Source organism: Homo sapiens, chromosome 14 (assembly GCF_000001405.40).
Source record: "Homo sapiens chromosome 14, GRCh38.p14 Primary Assembly".
In the NCBI taxonomy this organism is placed as follows: domain Eukaryota; kingdom Metazoa; phylum Chordata; class Mammalia; order Primates; family Hominidae; genus Homo; species Homo sapiens.
In genome coordinates, this window is record NC_000014.9 from 39,479,687 (window position 1) to 39,495,306 (window position 15,620).

Genomic DNA, 15,620 nt, shown 5'->3' on the forward strand with positions numbered 1-15,620 from the left:
AAATCTTTGAAATAAAACTTCAGTAGATGGATTTAAGGAGAGTCACTATGGAGACCTGTGACTATGGAGTGTCACTATAGGTTGGAAAAATTAGGAGGAAGAAATATCTAAAAACTAAGAAGAAATACATATAGAGAAGTAAATTATGATGAAGATATTTGACTCAAGATTCTTTTCCATAGCCTTTCCTTGAAATTGCTGGAGCTTGTGCATCATCAAAATAATGGCATAAACCAAGGAAGAAGAAAACAAAATTGAGGAAATGGGATCCAACACAAAAGAGAGACAACAGGATTAATTGAGTGTTGGTGAAAAGCCACAGCCTGTAAATAATGCAGTTCGAACTGAAATAGACCAGGAGGCTCAAGGAGAGACTTCTTCAAGAAGATAAAATTGATAGAATGCCTAAGGAGTTTGAGTGCATTGAGAATAGATTCATATCAGTTCTGGAGAACTGGGTGGATACATTAATGTTAAGTACATAGAAAAGTTAAAAATGAAAAAAATTCTCAATTCTAGGGAAAATAATCATAGTAAACTACATGTTTTAGTTACCAATAGTGTTTACGTAGTCAATATAAACAATGGGCATTGATATAAATAATGTATGTTGATCTGCTATAACAAGGTAAAATGCTATTGGGGAAACAAGATAACCTGTGTGTGTGTGTGTGTATGTTTGTTGAAATTATTGCTTTTATATGGAAAAGATTTAAATTATTAGCTTCTGCAATAAATAATATAGATAATAATGCCTATAACTAAAGTTAGTAACAGTATAAGACTATAACAATGTTATTTAGGAATTTGGGGCAAATACCAAAAACCAGCAAAAAGAGTTGAAAGCAATTCAGGGAGTGAGAAATTTGAAGTGTGGGGGGATCTAATTTTTTCATATCTAACCTTGTAGAAGTTTTAAATGATGCACATGTGTAACTCTGCTAAAAATAGCCCCCTAAATTATAAATAAAAGGAAATCATGGGATAAGACAGACCAAGAGGTGTAATATTAGGAGTTCTAGGAGGTTAAAAAAAAAAGAAAATGTGAGAGAAAATAGTATGATTATATTAGAAGAAACCTACATCTGCAACTTGAAGAGTGCCCCAGTCTCTCTAATCCAAGCTTTATTTAGGATGGATGAGGAAAAAAAGGTAATAGGCATATTCCTATAAAATTTTCAGACTCCAAAGATAATGATAAAATCTTACAGGGTCCAGATAGAAAAAAAACGTTAGTTGGAAAGGACAAATAATCAGACATACATTACATTTCCTGTGTGCACTTCTTGAGACTGGAATGTGGTGGTTTAATGGTAGTAGACCAGAAGATTACACCCATGAATCTTAGGCTAGGCTAAGCTAAGCTATCAGTTACCTCTTAGGGAGAAAGATGTTTGCAGATGTGTGAGAATTCAGAGATTAGAGAAGTCTTGAGAAAATATACCAGTCAACAAAAGGGCTTGAACAGTGACTCTAGGATATGAGAAGATAATGAAGGGAAATAGTGGTAAGCAATAATCTTGGCAGTATACACGATTTTCTTTTTTTTTTTTTCATTATACTTTAAGTTCTAGGGTACATGTGCACAACGTGCAGGTTTGTTACATATGTATACATGTGCCATGTTGGTGTGCTACACCCAATAACTCGTCATTTAACATTAGCTATATCTCCTAATGCTATCCCTCCCCCCTCCCCACACCCCACGACAGGCCCCGGTGTGTGATGTTCCCCTTCCTGTGTCCATGTGTTCTCATTGTTCAATTCCCACCTGTGAGTGAGAACATGCGGTGTTTGGTTTTTGGTCCTTGCGATAGTTTGCTGAGAATGATGGTTTCCAGCTTCATCCATGTCCCTACAAAGGACATGAACTCATCATTTTTTATGGCTGCATAATATTCCATGGTGTATATGTGCCACATTTTCTTAATCCAGTCTATCGTTGTTGGACATTTGGGTTGGTTCCAAGTCTTTGCTATTGTGAATAGCGCTGCAAGAAACATACGTGTGCATGTGTCTTTATAGCAGCATGATTTATAATCCTTTGGGTATATACCCAGTAATGGGATGGCTGGGTCAAATAGTATTTCTAGTTCTAGATCCCTGAGGAATCACCACACTGTCTTCCACAATGGTTGAACTAGTTTACAGTCCCACCAACAGTGTAAAAGTGTTCCTATTTCTCCACATCCTCTCCAGCACCTGTTGTTTCCTGACTTTTTAATGATCGCCATTCTAACTGGTGTGAGATGGTATCTCATCGTGGTTTTCATTTGCATTTCTCTGATGGCCAGTGATGATGAGCATTTTTTCATGTGTTTGTTGGCTGCATAAATGTCTTCTTTTGAGAAGTGTCTGTTCATATCCTTCTCCCACTTTTTGGTGGGGCTGTTTGTTTTTTTCTTGTAAATTTGTTTGAGTTCATTGTAGATTCTGGATATTAGCCCTTTGTCAGATGAGTAGATTGCAAAAATTTTCTCCCATTCTGTAGGTTGCCTGCTCACTCTGATGGTAGTTTCTTTTGCTGTGCAGAAGCTCTTGAGTTTAATTAGATCCCATTTGTCAATTTTGGCTTTTGTTGTCATTGCTTTTGGTATTTTAGACATGAAGTCCTTGCCCATGGCTATGTCCTGAATGGTATTGCCTAGGTTTTCTTCTAGGGTTTTTATGGTTTTAGGTCTAACATTTAAGTATTTAATCCATCTTAAGTTAATTTTTGTATAAGGTGTAAGGAAGGGATCCAGTTTCAGCTGTCTACATATGGCTAGCCAGTTTTCCCAGCACCATTTATTAAATAGGGAATCCTTTCCCCATTTCTTGTTTTTCTCTGGTTTGTCAAAGATCAGATGGTTGTAGATGTGTGGTATTATTTCTGAGGGCTCTGTTCTGTTCTGTTGGTTTATATCTGTTTTGGTATCAGTACCATGTTTTGAAAAGATCAACAAAATTGATAGACCGCTAGCAAGACTAATAAATAAGAAAAGAGAGAAGAATCAAATAGATGCAATAAAAAATGATAAAGGGGATATCACCACTGATCCCACAGAAATACAAACTACCATCAGAGAATACTATAAACACCTGTACTCAAATAAAGTAGAAAATCTAGAAGAAATGGATAAATTCCTGGACACATACACCCTCCCAAGACTAAACCAGGAAGAAGTTGAATCTCTGAATAGAACAATAAAAGGCTCTGAAATTGAGGCAATAGTTAATAGCTTACCAACCAAAAAAGTCCAGGACCAAACGGATTCATAGCCGAATTCTACCAGAGGTACAAGGAGGAGCTGGTACCATTCCTTCTGAAACTATTCCAATCAATAGGAAAAGAGGGAATCCTCCCTAACTCATTTTATGAGGCCAGCATCATCCTGATACTAAAGCCTGGCAGAGACATAACAAAAAAAGAGAATTTTAGACCAATATCCCTGATGAACATCGATGCAAAAAAAATCACAAGCATTCTTATACACCAACAACAGACAAACAGAGAGCCAAATCATGAGTGAACTCCCATTCACAGTTGCTTCAAAGAGAATAAAATACCTAGGAATCCAACTTACAAGGGATGTGAAGGACCTCTTCAAGGAGAACTACAAACCACTGCTCAACGAAATAAGAGGATACAAACAAATGGAAGAACATTCCATGCTCATGGGTAGGAAGAATCAATATCGTGAAAATGGCTATACTGCCCAAGGTAATTTATCGATTCAATGCCATCCCCATCAAGCTACCAATGACTTTCTTCACAGAATTGGAAAATCTACTTTAAAGTTCATATGGAACCAAAAAAGAGCCCGCATCGCCAAGTCAATCCTAAGCCAAAAGAACAAAGCTGGAGGCATCACACTACCTGACTTCAAACTATACTACAAAGCTACAGTAACCACAATCTTCAATCTCAGTGGTTAATGACCAACTGTTGGCAAATGTTTTCTGTAAATTTTAAAGAAGTTTTCTTTTTTTCTCCTCCGGCTTTGAATTTGAAATCTTTCAAACACATATAACATTTGAAAGACTGTTATGTAGTTTCACCAATTTCTCTTGTGGAATTTCTCTTCTAATTCAGGTATACTCTTTGGAGATGGCTCATTCCAGAGCAGGAGGGATAGAAAGTAAGCCTGCATTTTTTTTACTTGCCAGAAAGTAAGGAAATGCTCAAAGACAAATGGACACATGTCAAAAGGGCAGAGAGCACATGCAGGAGATTGATTGGAGAGTACTTTTCATAAGATCACCTGTAAGGGAGCGAGCAAAGCAGCACTGGCAGAGGAAGTTGAGTTGTGATGCAGTTCATCTTGTGCACATGGAGAGTTCTGGACCTAGGATGACCCTTCAGAGTGTTCTGAATTGGGTCAATTGAGCTGGGCCCTTATACCCAACATGGACCAGTCATTTGAAGTGGGCTTCCCCTAGAGAGGGGACATACCCTTGGGTGAGGAAGCTCCTTTCATAGAAGGCAATTCCTGGAGAGATGCCAGTTGTGAGCTCCCACATGCAACATTCTTACAGCTGGGGAAGAGTGCATTGGTACTAAAGTAAGTCCTGGACAGTACACCCGAGCAATCCCTACCATCGTTCACTAGCTTCATAGAATATATTCACCCCATCTGGGAACAGAAGCTCTAGTATTCTGATTGGTCTCTTTTTCTGGAAATACAGAGGAGAGTAAGTAGGATTTATTCCAGTCTCTTTCATTACACCTTGTCTTCAGGCCACAACTAATACTCATTGTCTCCTTCTGCTACTGATTCTAGATTTCCCCTTACCCTTGACTAACGCCTCTACTGATCTAAGCCACTTACCTTGTGGGTCCCTGAGGCCCTTGTTACCACGCTTTCCTGAGGCTGTGACTGTAGAATTTGTTCATTTCCTATCAAAATTGGGCAAAGGAGTATGAAGAGATACCCTTCATTTATACCCTTCATATGGCAAACATAATGTGTTCATTACCTGGGTGATAAAAATATGCTTCCCCATACTCACCATGTGGCAGAAGCTCCACTTTTTCCTGATAATCAAGGTCTATTAGCCCTACATAGATGGTGACTCCTTTTCTTGCCCTCTGGTCTCTTGGCCCAAAATGTATGAAATGACCAGGTGGCAGTTGCAGCTTACAGTTTAACGGGCTGTGTCCACTGATGGGACCAGGACCTCTAGATTAATTGAACCTAGCATTCAGGGATGAGAAATAAAAATGAAAATTGCTAAATGGGTCATTGGGAATGACAGCAAGTGGGGCCATTCCTGCTGCTCCCCTTAGTTTCCTGTCTGCATTTTACCTATTGCAGATGCAGTCACTATGTAATGTTTTTTGATTTCAGGTATAACCTCATCCTGGAGCAGGGCACCCTATCGTCAGATGGTATCATCTTTAAGGGGTTGTCTCAGCCATGCCTTTAGAATTACCTTTCATTGCTTGTCATGCTGGAAGCTTCTGAATGTTGCATTTTGTGATAGAAACAGTGGGTACCATGGTCATGTGCTCACATCTCCTTTGCGGTAAAGAAAAGGATCACTCATTAACATCCACCAGATAACATTCTCCATGAAAGCACCAAATAAGTAAGTATACAAAATACTAACCAATTGAAATTATCCAGCTTCTGTCATTGGCCCCCTTAGTGCTGGCATAATGGACAAAGCAGCCATGGTGACAGGGATGGAGGCTATGCCCGGGCCCAAAAGTATGAGTTCTCTCTCACCAAAGCTGAACTAGCTACTGCTGTGCTCACACCGTGGTCATATGCTCACATCTCCTTTGCTGTAAAGACAGTCCCTTGGTCCAAGACAATGTTATGTGGAATATGGTTAAAGTGAACCAGAAACATAAGTTCTCAGGTAGTGGTTCTGGCTAAGGGTCTGCAGGCAGAAAGGTCAAATCCATGTTGTAATATATGTTGATTCTTGTCAAAGTGATTTATTTCCACTTTCAGAGTGGAGAGGGTCCAGTGTAATCCATTTACCAACAACTGTCTCGTTAATTTCTTTGAGGGAATGTGCTATATTGGGGGCTCAGCTTTGTGTCTGTTACTGGTAGGTTAGATAATCTGTAGTAGCATAGCAGTAGCTAGTTCAGCCTTGGTGAGAGAGAGCCCATACTGTTGGGCCCATGCATAGCCTCCATCCCTGTTGCCGTGGCTGCTTTGTCCTAAATTATACTAGCACTAAGACGGCCAATGACAGAAACTGGATAATTTCAGTTGGTTAGTATTCTGTATACTTACTTGTTTAGTGCCTTCTTCATGCAGAATGTTCTCTGGTGAGTGTTAATGAGTCACCCAAAGATCTTCATACTTTATGTTTACCCCCCTAGGTCCATTCTCATGCCCCTTTTCCAGGAAAACCAATTAAGAGACTTGGCAGTCTTTTAGATGAGAGTCGAGGCCCTGAGCTAGCAGAGCGGCAGTGAGAATATAAATAAACAATGATATATGAGTGGAATTTTAAGTTAGGCTTGTGACATTTTGGAGACCTTAAAGTTCCTAATCTGATTGATTAGGAAGATCAGAAGTTTGTTTGTTTGTTTGTTTGTTTGTTTATTTATTTGAGATGGAGTCTTGCTTTGTCACCTAGACTGGAGTGCAATGGCGCAATCTCAGCTTACTGGAGCCTCCGCCTCCTGGGTTCAAGTGATTCTCCTGTCTCAGCCTAATGAGTAGCTGGGATTACAGGTGCTCACCACCATTCCTGGCTAATTTTTTTGTGTTTTTAGTGGAGATGGGGTTTCACATTTTGGCCAGGCTAGTCTTGAACTCCTGACCTCAAGTGATCCGCCTGCTTTGGCCTCCCAAAGTGCTGGGATTACAAGCATGAGCCACAGCGCCTGGCCAATTTATTTATTTTTAATTTCTCATTTATTTTTAATTTGGATAGGAGAACCTTATTTCTCAGAAAGGGTTGTAGCCTACAGGGTGGCCATTCTGACAGGCTAGGAAGTGTAGCCTCCGGCCAGAAGCCATAAACAGATACTTCAAGGGAGGGGCAAAGAGCAGGAATTTTTGCTGAGCAGGATGGCCAAATATACATATTTAATAAGTTATAGGAGGAGTCATAAGTATTTATGAAAGGAGAAACATGTGCATGCACAATTGAGCTTCATACTCCTTCACGGGTCCCATGTACAAAAATTGTCAGTGTTAGCGTGATCTGAGGGTGGAATTTTCGGTCCTCTGATGCCAAAAGGTGAAGCAGAGGACATTAAAACCCTTATGTACATTCTTCGTAGATTGGCCAGAACCACTCCATCATCATTGGTCTCTTATCGGGTGAAAAGGAGGGGAAGCATCAGGCTGTTGGTTGATATCAGTGGTGTAGTCTTTTGAAAGGGCTGGTTTCTGCTAAGCCCTTAGGGAAGAAAGGCTAATTATGGTTAGCAAGGTAGCGAGTATAACAACATGTGTCTGACCTCTCCATCCCATCAAGACTGAGAACTCAGTTTTCAAGATTTCTCTGGGGTTCCTTTGGCCAAGAAATGGTCTGTTTAATCAATTGAAGGGGCTTAGAATTTTATTTTTAGTTTACATTCTCTCCCATTTGGCCAAGACCTGCCAGACTTTTCTTTTGTCCCATATCATTGCTGGGGTGATGTGGCTACCTGCTGCAGGTCCATCCTGTCCCTCAGTGGGACCCTTGTGACAGAGGGACTTAGAGCCAAAAGACTTACAGCCAACTAAACATTTTATGCCAGATGAGAATGGAGGTGGGCAGGTAACCATCAACACTTAAAACCTTTTAAGCAACATAAGAGCCAAAAACCAAAGCCAAAAAGTAAGGTTATAAAAGTGACTTACCAGTTCTATGCACTGAGCTACTACAATCTTGGTGTTAGTTACAGACTTGTAGCCGTTAGCTATATAAAACATAAGCATTTTGCTAAAACCATTTTAAGCTAAGGAATTTAGAGATTTTGTTGTTCTGCAATGCCTTTTGCAATCTCTTAAGTAATTTATCTTAAGGTGGCTGAAAAATTTCTTATTATATCATTATTTGTGTGAACCCCGTAACTGGGAACAACTATACTGAGAAGGCTTTGTCACCAGGTGTCTTGATATTCTCTTAGTAATTCTCATTTACTTCTATGGAAAGCAGGAAATTCTTTATGGTTGGATGGATGGAAAGGGACCACAAGATGGCTCAGGAGGAAAAGTCTCTCAAAAATTTGCCAGCTCTTTAGGCAATCTGTGTGCCTGTCCTTGATTTGGAGAGTCTGAACTAATTCTGTCCCTCAAAACTGGCCCTTACAATCTCACACACCCACCTTTTCCCCCATAGTCTCTGGGCCTAGAGAGAGGGTGCATCTGTTGTTTCAGCAGCAAGGCAATGACAATGAAAAAAAGATTGGGTCCAATAAGATTGCAAATGAGGGACATTCACAGCCTTTGTAGAATCATCTCTGGTTTTTACAATATCATGATTCTGGTTTTCTCAGAAGAAGTAAAACAGTGAGAGATAAATAACATTAATAATTTGACAATCAAAAGAGAATGTGTATGTCAGAATGGAAAAAGGAACCTATTCTGTTAGGGAGACAACTAAAACCATCATGCAGAAATTAATTTTAATTGAGACAAAAGATTTAGGAAAAAGTTGCTCTGTAGGTTGGAGACACAAATTTTATTTTAGACCAGCAGACTATTAGAAATGCTGGTACAAAACTCAAGAAAGGAGTCAGAATTAAAGACAAACACATAGCTGTGTCATAATCCTACCCATTTTATAACTGAGAAATATGGGAGAAAAGATTGTTGTCGCCTCTCTAATATACCCATTATAATCTTCAACCTGCTGAGTACTGGGGGATTAGGATCATGGGGGAACAAACAGATAAACAACAGCTAACACAAGAAAATGGATTTAATCAGGTTTAAAGCTTAGTCTTATGTAAGAATTTAAACATTTCGTTTCAATAATGCTTAGTGTCTTGGAATAATTGCTCAGGGTCTCAGATAGCTTCTCTTCCTAAGACAACATCTAAGTATGTGGTGCTGGGGTGGCTTCTATGATGTTACAGCTTAAGGAAGGCAGGATTCCCAGATTTGCATATTATCCCAAGGCTCCTCTGGTTGCCATGGCGATGTCCTTTGTTTGCTGGCTGCTGCTGCTCTCTCTCAGCATTTGGATTGCTTCTCCCACAGTTTGGTCAGAGCCTAGTGATGCTGCTGGTTGACAAAGCTTCTGGTATTGGGGAGCCCTCTGGATATGAGCTGGAGTCAGCTCAGGCTGGGTGGCTCACTCTGAGCCTCCATCTTCACTTCCACACAGAAGTCTCACCTGGCAAGCTCCCTAGCAAGATACTCTAGGGCTGACATTTGCCCACCTTGGGAAAGCTAAACTCATAGGCTCAGGTGCAAAGTTATTTTGATACTTTCTTGGTTATTTGCCTTTTAATTTGTTTAGTATCTATCACTGGCCGCCCTCCTTCCTCTAACACATACACACACTAGAATATAAGCTCATGATAATGGGGATCTTGTAATTCTTGTTCATTGCTGAATAACAAGCTCCAGGAAAAGTACCTGTCACATCATTGGCTAATAATAGACCTCTGTTAAATCAATGAAAGGAGGAAGGACAAAAATAATAGATGAAATCCCTAAGGAAGAACATGTCAAGTGAGAACAAGATGAGGACTAAAGTGTTTAGTACATCTTCTACTTTCTATTTTAGAGGCAGAAGGCAAAAGAGGCTCTAGGGAAGGAAAGTGAGAACTATTCAAGAGAAGTGTGCAGAGGTTGGGAGTGTAAAATTGGGGCAAGCATGCATCAGTAGACAGAGGTGATCACTGTTGCATAAAGCTTCAGAAGTTGAGCAGGAGTAACGGAATTGGCAACTTGAAGGTTATTGGTAATTTCAGGGAAAGTGGTACCAAGACATGAACCTGGGAAATTCAGTTTCAAGGAATTGTGCCATAAAAGGGAGAAGAGAATTGCAGCAGGTGAAGTCTTTTATGAAGATTGAAGTGAAGGGAAGAAGAATTAGGATATGCCACCTGACTCTTCAGAGCAAAAGACTCACGGAGGATTTTTTTTTTTTTTTTTTTTTGCCTCCAAGACAGAAGAGACTTGGTGTATTGGTATGTAGGGAGGAACTGGTGGAGAGGAAAATGAGGAAGACTGAAGAAGAAGATGGTTTATGAATTTAGGTCTCAGAACTTGACTGGGAAGGGATGAGATCAGCCTTAGAAAGGAAGATAAGAAAATAAGAATGGATGGAAAATAGGAAATCTGAAGCAAGTGGGAGGAAAATAGAAGAATTCACATCCGATTTTGCTCAGTACAAGAGGTGTCCGGCTTATTGGCTAAGAATGTGTGTGTGCAGACCCCTGTGAAAATTGCATGGTGAAACAGGGCCATGTCACAAGGTGTGGCTCCTTACTGCCCACACTTCTTTGATCCTTTATTGACTCAAAGTGAGTGGCCATGCTCCCTGGAGGTTCCTTTAGAGAGAGTGCTTTAAAGAGAGTGCTTTAGACATTCTTGTTTAAATTCAGATAGGAGACTTGGTTAAGGTCTGAGTGTCTTCTCCCTATAGCGTAATCAGTTTCTAAAGAGAGGCCTGGGTGCCTTAAGGTTCCCTAGAATCAATATGAGGATCTCAAATCTCAGACTCAACCCTCTTCATGATTCTGGATTATGTAAGTGATATGAATAATTTCAGTACTACAAATCTCAGGTTTGTCCCTCAGCAATGCTGACTCATTATTAAATAAATAAAATTTATTTATGCTAAATTTTCCTTAGTTGATTCTCTTAAGAATATCTTGTTTTAGATTATCTCATGGTAATTAAGAGTTTATGAATTATATGCTAATGGGAAAATCTAACTTCACATATCTTCTTTATTCTGATTTCATCTATACGAATTTTGTAAAATGTAATATTGGGCAAGGTAAAAGCCACTCCATAGACAAGGAATTACATAATGTGTATATTTGGAATTGAAATGTTTATTTAAAATTTTTTATTAATAAAAGTTTATATAAAGTGATGTTTGCTTTGTTTATACTTTTTGATCATCAATCATTTATTCATTTATTATATATATATTTATTTTTATATATTATTATATATTTATTAATATTATATATTTATTATATATTTATTAGTCATCTATGTGCAGGTTCTGTTCCAGGTGCTAGGAATATAAATGCAGAAAAGATGTAGTCCCTGAATCTTAGGAGTTTATGGTCTAGTTATGGGAGACAGTATAATCAAGTAATCAACTAAGTACAATGGATAGTGTATGTGCCCAAAAAAGAGAGTTGTCAATTCTGGTTAAGAAGGATGGGAAACCTCTATAAAGGAAGGTTTTACTGTTGAAATGGTGTCTGAATTCTGAAGGGCTACAAGTTATCTTCATTAGATTACTATTAGAGGATAAAATTTCGCTGGCAAAGAACTCATCTTATGCAAATTTGTGTTCCCATACAAGGGAAGAATTTGTCAGTAAATAAAAGATAAAGGCTTCCAAAGAATCACGAAGTTTAAAATTATAATAAAAGGTTTTTTTTTAACCAATACCAGTAGGTGGCAGTGTAACCTCATTAAAAAAAGACCGATGTAAGGATGAAAATGACTTTCCTGATTTTCCAGTCCTGATAATGAGGGTCTTCTGGGTTAAAAATGGATAAGAAAAAGTGGTTTTGAAATTTTTTCTCTGCAGGGCAGCTTTTCCTTGAATAAGCTGCTGTCTCATTCCTCCCCTGCTTCTCATTCATCCTGAAAGATCTACATAAAATTGACTTGGACACCTCCCCTTCCAAGGCCTGTGGGAGTCAGAAATCCTTCTCAAGATTTCTGCACGGCACTGACCCAGAAACAAAACTAAGTTCCCTGCTTGATGTCCACTAAAAGCCCATTCACATAAAACATTCATGATTTTAAGTGCCTTTAGTGAAGATTTGAGGAAAGGATAGCAGCAGAGTGTATACAGCAGCAACAAAACAACCTCTAATGGATCAGGCAGCCTCTCTTGTCTCAAAATGTTCCTTGGCCACCCACCACTATGGAATTTTACTGAATTTCTTTTTGTCAGCCTTTCTCTATCTAGTTGGCTCCTCTTTTTCCCTGCTCAGCCCTGTAATTTCAATTTTTTTCTCTCTTCTCCATTCCTTCTTCACTCTACCTCTTTCTTCTTTTCTTTACCTCCCTTTTCCCTCCTCTTCCCTCCCTCTTGCTCTTTCTTTCTCCCCTCCAAACCCACCAGTGTGCTCTGTGGTAGTGAGCCCTTCACTTAACAAAATCCCTCCTCTTTCTCCTCCTCCTCCCCACCATTGCCAAAAGGCAGCAGTGCCAGTTTATTACCCTGAAACAGAAAGCACGACAGTAATTTCAGTGTAATAAAAATGCTTTAAAAAACACTTCCCTGCAGATTTTTTTTAAATTAAGAAAATTGTGGTGGTTGCAGGTTTTTGCTAAGCAGGGTATTAATGAGTTTGTTAATATTCTCTACTCCTCCATCCATCTTCCATTTGCCTAGAAAATAAATCCCAGTTACTATCTGACTATCAGTATTTACCTTATTTGCCATTGATGTTGTTTTTGTTTTGTTTTTCCTTTAGGGTTTGTCTTGGTCCATTTTATGCTGCTATAACAGAACACCACAGACTGAGAAATTTATAAGGAATAGAAGTTTATTTGCCTCATGTTTCTGGAGGCTGGGAATTCCAAGATCAAGGGGCTGCATAGATTGAGGTCCTTTTTGCTGACTCATAACGTGGAAAGAGAGTGCACTGCATAGAAGAAAGGAGGCCAAACTCATTCTTTTATCATGAGCCTACTCCTGAAATAACTCACTCTCAAGATAATGGCATTAATCCATTCATGAAGGCAGAATACTCATGATGTAATCACCTCTTAAAAGGTCCTATTTCCTAACACTGTTGCATTAGGGATTAAGCTGTCAACACATGAATATTGGGGGACACATTCAAACCATAGCAAGAGTTCTTTGTCTTTGTGACTCGGTGTGGTTCAGCAAATTGCGATTGGTCTGCTATAGCGGACTTTCCCCTCACCTCCCAAATGTTTATTATGAAAAATTTCATTTTAAAGAAAGGTGGAAGGAATTGTTGAAAGAATATGTCATCTAGTTTCTACTGTTGTTAACATTGTGTCATATTTGCCTTTTCATCCATCCAACCACCCATCCATCTAGCTACCTTATAATTACTATTATTACTTATTATTACTATTATTTTTAAAGACACCTCTATTAAAGCAACCATCTTATTTTTTGATTTTATTTATTTTCAAAGTTAGTTGCAGACATTAGTATACTTTACTCCTAGACATTTTAGCGTGAACATAATTAACTGGAGTATAATACTTGTTTTCAATTTCTTTTTATTTTTGAGGTAAAATTTACATACAGTGAAATCCAAATCTTAAGTGTACCACTAGATAAATTTTGATAAATGCATTATGCCTGGTCTTCACACACCCTTTTCAATATATAGAAAATTTCCAGATAATTTATTTTGTTGTTTTTTTCACACACTAAGTTCTAGACTTTTCCAGGTCCGAGGGAACTATTAGGGGGGAAAGTACTTGTTATAGTAAAAAAGATTTTAGGTGTGTTTGTTTTTAAGGTGCAGAAACACATCGCAGATTAAGGTCTGCATCTCTGCTTTTTGTTATTGTTCCAGTTTGATCTCAGTGACATTACAAGCAAGCAGAAACACTCAGACATGAAATGGCCAGTGCCTGTGAGTTAAGAGCAGGATCTAGGTCTATTTTTTTGATATGTATCTCAACTACCTGGAATACTTTATACTTTTGGCACTCAATAAATATTTGTTGCTGCCAGACGATCTGCCACAAAAATTTACTGGGTCTATTTTATGGCTATTGTTTGTTCACCTTGAAAATAATCATGGGATCATAGAAGTCAAAGTCATGGAGAGCAGCACAGAGGTTTCTCAGCTGTTGATAAGTTCTTTACAGTAAAGCAGGGTTAAATGTAGAAGGTATGATACTGAGAGCTTCTCAAAGGTACAGAGGTGAATAGAGGAAAAAGAGCAGATAAATTCAGACAGAATGTCGTTAAGGTCCTAGCAGAAAAAAGACCTGAATTCGGAGTTCTCTTATGCTTTCTACTGGAGTTCCAACTCTGTGCTTGACCTTTCCAGGGCCTGCAGGTGCATGAAGATGGGTGGTTACTATTCCTAGAAAATGTTTATGTAGAAAAATACTGATACATGCTGATATGGTTTGACTGTGTCCCCACCCAAATCTCATCTTGAATGGAACATATTGCAAAGTGGTAGCATGATATTTTACTAAACTAAGTTACTGTCAAGACATTCAGAGATATTTTTAAATGGTACACCAAATTTCAACACCCTAAATGCTCACTCAAGCTGATTACAAATGATTGCTTGCCATTCTTTGTGTATGAGTGTGATTACCACCTGCAGTAACTTAAAGACGACTATTCAGGGTGAAATCTGCCTCTGAATTGCCATCCTGGTCACAAATCTTTTCCTTCCCAAGTGGAAATCTTCTCCAGAAGAAATAATAACAATAGTATTTTGGTTAGTGTTCAGTTGTGGAGAGTAAAACTCACTCTAGCTAGTTTAAGCAGTAAGGTGTTCATCACGGAGCATTAAATGGCCCACAGATTTTAGGTTGAGTGTCCAGGAATGGTTCCCAAAGCCACATTGGCTGTCAAGGGATTATGCCTTTGCTACCATTAGAAAGCCATGGTATAAGAAAGATACCATCACAGCTGTTAGCTCTAGAGCCTCTGCTATCAGTGGAAAATAGCCTACCAAGTTAGGAAACCTTTGCTACAGCTGCTGTCCCAGGCTGCCACTGCAGTTCTAAGGCACATCAACAAAATTGGATTCCAGACTCTAGGCTGAGTGTCATTCCTGGACACTCAACCTAGAAGTTTAACATCTAATTGTAGGAACTTAAATCTAGAATCCTAGGTGCAAGGGATTGGGAAATGGTGCAAGGGATTTAGTCCCATTATATTAAAAGAAGTTAGAATGCATGCTTACTGGCCAGTGTTTACTAGAAATATCTAACATTTGTCAAGAACCTGTACGTGAGTCACGGTAATTACTTCTTCACATGAATGATCTGAGTCTTACAACCACCCAATTAGGTAGTTACGTCCTATTAGTGAGATACTATTATTATAGCCACTTTTACAGGTGAGGAATCTGCTGGTAGGAAAAGTTATTTTCTCAAGCTCGGGTCACAGAACAGAACATGGTGAAATTGGCATTTGAACCTAAGTGTGTTTGACTCTAAATTCTGGAATCTGGTCTCTTAACAATCATACTATACTGTTTCTACTATCTTTACCAATTAAGTGAAAAGAAAATTAGTTTAAAAGATATTTGGATATCATCAATCATCAAGACACTGTGCTAAGATCATACATAAATTTTTTTTTTTTTTGAGACAGTCTTGCCTGTCACCCAACCTGAAGTGCAGTGGCATGATCTCGGCTCACTGCAGACTCCGCATCCTAGGTTCAAGCAATTCTCCTGCCTCAGTCCCCAAGTAACTGGGATTACAGGTGTGTGCCACCATGCCTGGCTAATTTTTGTATTTTTAGTAGAGATGGGGTTTCACCATGTTGACCAGACTGGTCTCGAA

At 38.9% G+C, this 15,620-nt stretch overlaps 3 long non-coding RNA genes across 15 annotated transcripts in view; all 3 read left to right on the top strand.

Annotated features, from left to right (window-relative positions):
- The window catches only part of LOC105370461 (uncharacterized), a 433,650-nt gene that overhangs the window by 47,338 nt on the left and 370,692 nt on the right, over positions 1 to 15,620 (top strand). The window lies entirely within an intron of this gene.
- Positions 1 to 15,620, top strand: part of LOC105370460 (uncharacterized) — a 39,079-nt gene that overhangs the window by 4,847 nt on the left and 18,612 nt on the right. Inside the window, exon 2 of the long non-coding RNA XR_001750731.2 lies at positions 183 to 628. This is a non-coding gene — a long non-coding RNA (uncharacterized LOC105370460). The remainder of the gene's footprint in view (positions 1 to 182; positions 629 to 15,620) is intronic.
- On the top strand, positions 3,831 to 13,832 carry LOC112267899 (uncharacterized). The gene is made up of 3 exons (XR_001750732.3): positions 3,831 to 4,674; positions 5,331 to 5,571; positions 12,569 to 13,832. It is a non-coding gene; the product is annotated as an uncharacterized LOC112267899 (long non-coding RNA).